Source organism: Homo sapiens, chromosome 5, assembly GCF_000001405.40.
Source record: "Homo sapiens chromosome 5, GRCh38.p14 Primary Assembly".
NCBI lineage: Eukaryota > Metazoa > Chordata > Mammalia > Primates > Hominidae > Homo > Homo sapiens.
Genome location: NC_000005.10, coordinates 51,062,086 through 51,068,928, shown reverse-complemented (window position 1 = coordinate 51,068,928; position 6,843 = coordinate 51,062,086).

Sequence of the window (6,843 nt, the reverse complement as noted above, 5' to 3'; positions counted from 1 at the left end):
AGTGTCTTCCACAACGGTTGAACTAATTTACATTCTCATCAACAATGTAAAATCTTTCCTATTTCTCCACAGCCTCACTAGCACCTGTTGTTTCTTGACTTTTTAATAATCACCTTTCTGACTGGCATGAGATGGTATCTCATTGTGGTTTTGATTTGCATTTCTCTAGTGATAAGTGATGTTGAGCTTTTTTTTCATATGTTTCTTGGCCACATGAACCTCTTGTTTTGAGAAGTGTTTGTTCATATTATTTGCCCACTTTTTGATGGTTTTTTTTTTCTTGTAAATTTTCTTAAGTTCCTTGTACATTCTAGATATTAGACCTTTGTCAGATGGGTAGACTGCAAAAATTTTCTCCCATTCTATAGGTCACGTGTTTGGTCTGATGATAGTTTCTTTTGTTGCGCAGAAGCTTTTTAGTTTAATTAGATCCCATTTGTTAATTTTAGCTTTTGTTGCAATTGCTTTTGCTGATTTAATCAAAAAATCTTTGCCCATGCCTATGTCCTAAATGGTATTGCCTAGGATTTTTTTCTAGGGTTTTTAAGGTTTGGGGTTTTATATTTAAGTCTTTAATTGATCTTGAGTTAATTTTTGTATAAGGCGTAAGGAAGGTGTCCATTTGCAGTTTTCTGCATATGGCTAGCTGGTTTTCCTAGCACCATTTATTAAATAGAAAATCTTTTCCTTGTGGCTTGTTTTTGTCAGGTTTGTAGAAAATCAGATGGTTGTAGATGTGTGAACTTAATTCTGAGGTCTCTATTCTGTTCTATTGTTCTGTATATCTGTTTTGGTACCAGTACCATGCTGTTTTGTTTACTGTAGACGTGTAGTATAGTTTGAAGTCAGGTAGCATGATACCTCCAGCTTTTTTTTTTTTTCCTTAGGATTGTCTTGGCTATGTGGGTTCTTTTTTGGTTCCATATGAAATTTAAACTAGTTTTTTCTAATTCTGTGAAGAATGACATTGTAGTTTGATGGGAATAGCATTGAATCTATTAATTGCTTTGGGCAGTATGGCCATTTTCATGATATTGATTCTTTCTATCAAAGAGGATGGAATGTTTTTCCATTTGTCTATGTCCTCTATTATTTCCTTGAGCAGTGGTTTGTAGTTCTCTTTGAAGAGGTCCTTCACATCCCTTGTTAGCTGTATTCCTAGGTATTTTGCTCTGTTTGTGAATGGGGTTCATTCGTGATTTGGCCCTCTGCTTGTCTATTGTTGGTGTACAGGAATGTTTGTGATTTTTGCACATTGATTTTGTATCCTGAGACTTTGTAAAAGTTGCTTATCAGCTTAGTGAGTTTTGGAGCTGAGACGATGAGGTTTTCTAAATACAGGATCATGTCATCTGCAAATAGAGACAATTTGACTTCCTCTCTTCCTATTTGAAGTCTTTATTTCTTTCTCTTGCCTGATTACCCTAGCCAGAACTTTCAATACTAAGTTGAATAGGAGTGGTAAGAGACGGCATCCTTGTCTTGTGCTGGTTTTCAAAGGGAATGCTTCCAGCTTTTGCCCATTCAGTATGATATTGGCTGTGGGTTTGCCATAAATAGCTCTTATTATTTTGAGATAAGTTCCATCGATACCAAGTTTATTGAATTTTTATCATGAAGGGAGGTTGAATTTTACTGAAGGCCTTTTCTGTCTCTATTGAGATCATCATGTGGTTTTTGTAATTGGTTCTCTATATGTGATGGATTACATTTATTGATTCGTGTATATTGAGCAAGCCTTGCATCCCAGGGATGAAGCCAACTTGATCATGGTGGATAAGCTTTTTGATATGCTGCTGGATTCGTTTTTCCAGTGTTTTATTGAAGATTTTCCCATTGATGTTCATCAGGGATATTGGCCTGAAGTTTTCTTTTTTTGTTGTGTCTCTTCCAGGATTTGGTATCAGGATGATGCTGGCCTCATGAAATGAGTTAGGGAGGGAATTGGAAAGGTTTCTGAAGGGATGGTACCAGTTCCTGTTTGTAGCTCTGGTAGAATTTGGCTGTGAATCTGTCTGGTCTTGGGCATTTTTGGTTTGTGGGATATTTATTACTGTCTCAATTTCAGAACTTGTTATTGGTCTATTCAGGGATTTGACTACTTCCTGGTTTGGTCTTGGAAGGGTGTATACGTCCATGAATTTATCCATTTCTTCTAGATTTTCTAGTTTATTTATGTAGAGGTGTTTATAGTGTTCTCTGATGGTTGTTTGAATTTCTGTGGGGTCAATGGTGATATCCCCTTTATCATTTTATGGTATCTATTTGATTCTTCTTTCTTTTATTCTTTATTAGTCTAGCTAGTGGTCTATTTTATTAATTTTTTTTAAAAAACAACTCCTGGACTCATTGATTTTTTGAAGGCTTTTTCATGTCTCTATCTCCTTCAGTTCCACTCTGATCTTAGTGATTTCTTGTCTTCTGCTAGCTTTTGGATTTGTTTGCTCTCACTTCTCTAGTTCTTTTAATTGTGATGGTAGGGTGCTGATTTGAATCTTTCTAGCTTTCTGATGTGGGCATTTAGTGCTATAAATTTCCCTCTTAACACTGCTTTAGCTGCATCCCAGAAACTCTGGTACATTGTATCTTTGCTCTCATTGGTTTCAAAGAACTTCTAGATTACTGCCTTAATTTCATTATATACTCAGGAGTCATTCAGGAGCAGGTTGTTCAGGTTCCACCTAGTTGTGTGGTTTTGAGTGAGTTTCTTAATCCTGAGTTCTAATTTGATTGCACTGTGGTCTGAAAGACTGTTATGATTTCCATTCTTATGCATTTGCTGAGGAGTGTTTTACTTCCAATTATGTGATCAGTTTTAAAGTAAGTGCCACATGGCACTGAGAAGAATGTATAATCTGTTGTTTTGGTGTGGAGAGTTAGGGAGATATCTACTAGGTCCACTTGATCCAGAGCTGAGTTCAAGTTATGAATATCCTTGTTAATTTTCTGTCTCATTGATCTGTCTAATCTTGACAGTGGGGTGTTAAAGTCTCTCACTACTATTCTGTGGGAGTCTAAGTCCCTTTGTCGGTCTCTAAGAACTTGTTTCATGAATCTGGGTGCTCCTGTATTGAGTGCATATATATTTAGAATACTTAGCTATTCTTATTGAATTGATCCCTTTACCATTATGCAATGTCTTTCTTTGTTTTTTTCTTATCTTTATTGGCTTAAAGTCTGTTTTGTCAGAGACTAGGATTGCAACCCCTGCTTTTTTCTCCTTTCCATTTGCTTGGTAAATTTTCCTCCATCCCTTTGTTTTGAGCCTATGTGTGTCTTTCCATGTGAGATGGGTCTCCTGAATACAGCACACCAATGGGTCTTGACTATCCAATTTGTCAGTGTGTGTCTTTTCATTGGGGGCAGTTAGCCCATTTACATTTAAGGTTAATATTGTTATGTGTGAATTTGATCCTGTTATTATGATGTCAGCTGGTTATTTTGTACACTCGTTGATGTCATTTCTTCATTGTATCATTGATCTTTATATTTTCATATGTTTTGCAGTGGCTTACAATGGTTCTTTCCTTCCATATTTAGTGCTTCCTTCAGGAGCTCTTACAAGGCAGGACTGGTTGTGACAAATTCCCTCAGCATTTGCTTGTCTGAAAAGGATTTTATTTTGCCGGTGTTTATGAAGCTTAGTTTGGCTGGATATGATATTCTGGGTTGAAAATTCTTTTCCTTAAGAGTGTTGAATATTGGCCCCCACTCTCTTCTGGCTTTCAGGGTTTCTGCTGAGAGATCCACTGTTAGTCTGATGGGCTTCTTTTTGTAGGTGACCTGGCCTTTCTCTCTGATTGCCCTTAACATTTTTTCCTTTGTTTCAACCTTGGAGAATCTGTTGGGGTTGAACTTATTGTGAAATATATTAGTGGGGTTCTCTGTATTTCCTGAATTTCAAGTTGGCCTGTGTTGCTAGGTTGGGGAAGTTCTTCTGGATAATATCCTGAAGCTTGTTTTTCCAACTTGGATCTATTCTCTTCATCTCTTTCAGGTACTCCAATCAGTCGTAGGTTTGGTCTTTCTACATAGTCCTATATTTCTTCGAGGTTTTGTTCATTCCTTTTCATTCTTTTTTCTCTAATCTTGTCTGCCTGTCGTATTTCACCAAGATAGTCTTCCAGCTCTTATACTGTTTGTTTCTCTTGACTGATTTGACTGTTGATATTTGTGTATGCTTCAGAAAGTTCTTGTACTGCATTTTCAGCTCCATCAGGTCATTTATGTTCCTCTCTAAACTGGTTATTCTAGTTAGCAGCTCCAGTAACCTTTTATCAACGTTCTTAGCTTCTTTGCATTGGGTTAGAACATGCTTTTCTTACCTCAGCTAAGTTTGTCATTACCCACCTTCTGAAATCTACTTCTGTCAATTCATCCATGTTATCCTCTGTCCAGTTCTGCACGCTTGCTGGAGATGTGTTGTGATCATTTTGAAGGGAAGAGGCACTCTGACCTTTTGGGTTTTCAGCATTTTTTTGTAGATTCTTTCCTATTTTCATGAGTTTGCTTAGTTTTGATCTTTGAGCCTACTGACCCTTGGATGAGGTTTTTAGGGGGACCTTTTTTGTTGATGCTGTTGTTGTTGCTTTCAGTTTGTTTGTTTTTCTTTCAATAGTCAGGTCCCTCTTCTGTATGGCTGCTGCGGTTTGCTGGGGGTTCACTTCTGGCCCTGTTCATCTGGTTCACTCCTGTACCTGGAGATGTCACTCGAGGAGGCTGGAGAACAACAAACATGGATGTTTGCTCCTTCATCTGGGATCTCTGACCTCAAGGGGCACCAACCTGATGCCAATAGGAATGCTCCTGTTTAGGATGTCTGATAACCCCTGTTGGGGGATCTCACCTAGCTGGGTGACACAGGAAGCTGGACTCATTTAATGAGGCACTTTGGCTGTCCCTTGGTGGAGTGAATGCAATGCACTCAGGGAAAACCCATTCATCTGGGCTGCCTGGATTCCTCAGAGCTAGCAGCAGGAAAGACTAAGTCTGCTGATTTCTGGAGACTATGGCCACCCCTCCCGCTACGGGCTCAGGCCCAGGGAGATCAGAGTTCTGTCCCCGAGCCCCTAGCTGGAGTTGGAGTTCCTACAGGGAGGCCCTGCAGCCACAGTGTTGGCTGCCACACCTCCCTCAAGGAGCTCAGACCTGTGGCTTACAACACAGGCAGCCGCAGCAGTGGTGATGGCAGCACCCCCAACCTCCACCCCCCCATCCTCTCCCACAGGGAACTAGGCAGGCTTTGGCCAATTCTAGCCAAGAGGGTTTTGAGAATCTGCACAGCTCCATGGTTGGGGCCCAAGGCCCAGGCAGTGTGGGCTCCCAAGTGGGATTTTCCAATCCATGGGTTACGCAGTTCCATGGAAAAAGCATGATTTCCCAGGTTGAGTAACGCTCTCACTTGCTGATTCCCTTGGGTGGAGGTGGGGGCTCCTTGCCCCTTGTGGCCCTCAGGTGGGCCGCCACACCACACTGCTCTTCTTACCTCTCTGTTGGTCATACCACCTGCCTAGTCAGTCCTAATGACAGAACCTGGATACCTCAGTTGCCAGTGCCAGATTCACACACTGTTTTGGGTCTTTGCAGTGGGGGCCTCTGATCACCACTCCTTCTAGTTGGCCCTCTTGGCCCTGCCTCCTATCATCCTATTTTAACCAACTACCAAGTCAAGATGATGCTGGTAAATTCAGGGGGATCTTGAAGGGTAAAGGTTATAAAAACCATTTCACATGGTCAGTGGCTACCAGAGATTGGTGGGTGGCAAGAGTATTTGTTCACTGAGAGCTTTAAAAAGTAACCACCCAATGCCTGAGTTCCTGGCTGGATTCCCCTGACAAAATTCTTTTCATGATAATAATTCTCAAAAATTTGGTATAAATGAAATATATCTCAAAATCATAAAGGTCATTTATGACAACCCACAGTTATTAGCAGAGTCAACAATGAAAAGCTGAAAACTTTTCTTCTAAGATCAGAAACAAGACAAGGAAGCCATTTCTTACCAATTCTATTCAACATAGTTCTGAAAGTTCTATTCAGAACAATTAGACAAGAAAAAAAAAAAAGAGGGCCTCCAAGCCAAAAAAGAAGAAATAAAATTATCTCTGCAGATGACATGATCTTATATATAGAAAACCCTGAAGACTCTACCAAAAAAACTGTGAGAACTAATCAAATTCAGTAAAGTTGCAAGATCAAAATTAACATACAAAAATTGGTTGCATTTTAATACAATAACAATGAACTATCCAAAAAATAAATTAAGAAAATAATTCTATTTACAATAACACTAAAATACCTAAGAATAAATCTAACCAAGAAAGTGAATGACCTATACACTGCAAACTATAAAACATTGATAAAAGAAATTAAAGAAGATAAAATTAATGAAATATTTTATATGCATATATTAGAAGAATAAATATTGTTAAAATGTCTACAGTACCCAAAGCAATCTACTGAATCAATGCAATTCCTATTATAATTTCAATGGCACTTTTCACAATAATAGAAAAAATAATCCTAAACTTCATACAGAAAAGACCCTAAATAAGCAATGCAATCTTGATCAAAAAGAAAGCTGGAGGCATCACACCACCTGATTTCAAAATGTGCTACAAAGCTACACTAATCAAAACAGTATGGTACTAGCATAAATACACACATATAGAGCAATAGAACTGAACAGAAAGTCCAAAAATAAGTCTTCACATTTACTATAAATTGATCTTCAACAAAGGTGCCAAGAAAGCTCAATCGGGGTAGGATAGTGTCTTCAATAAATGGTGATAAGAAAATTTGATATTTACATACAGAAGAATGAAATTGAACTCATTTCTCAAA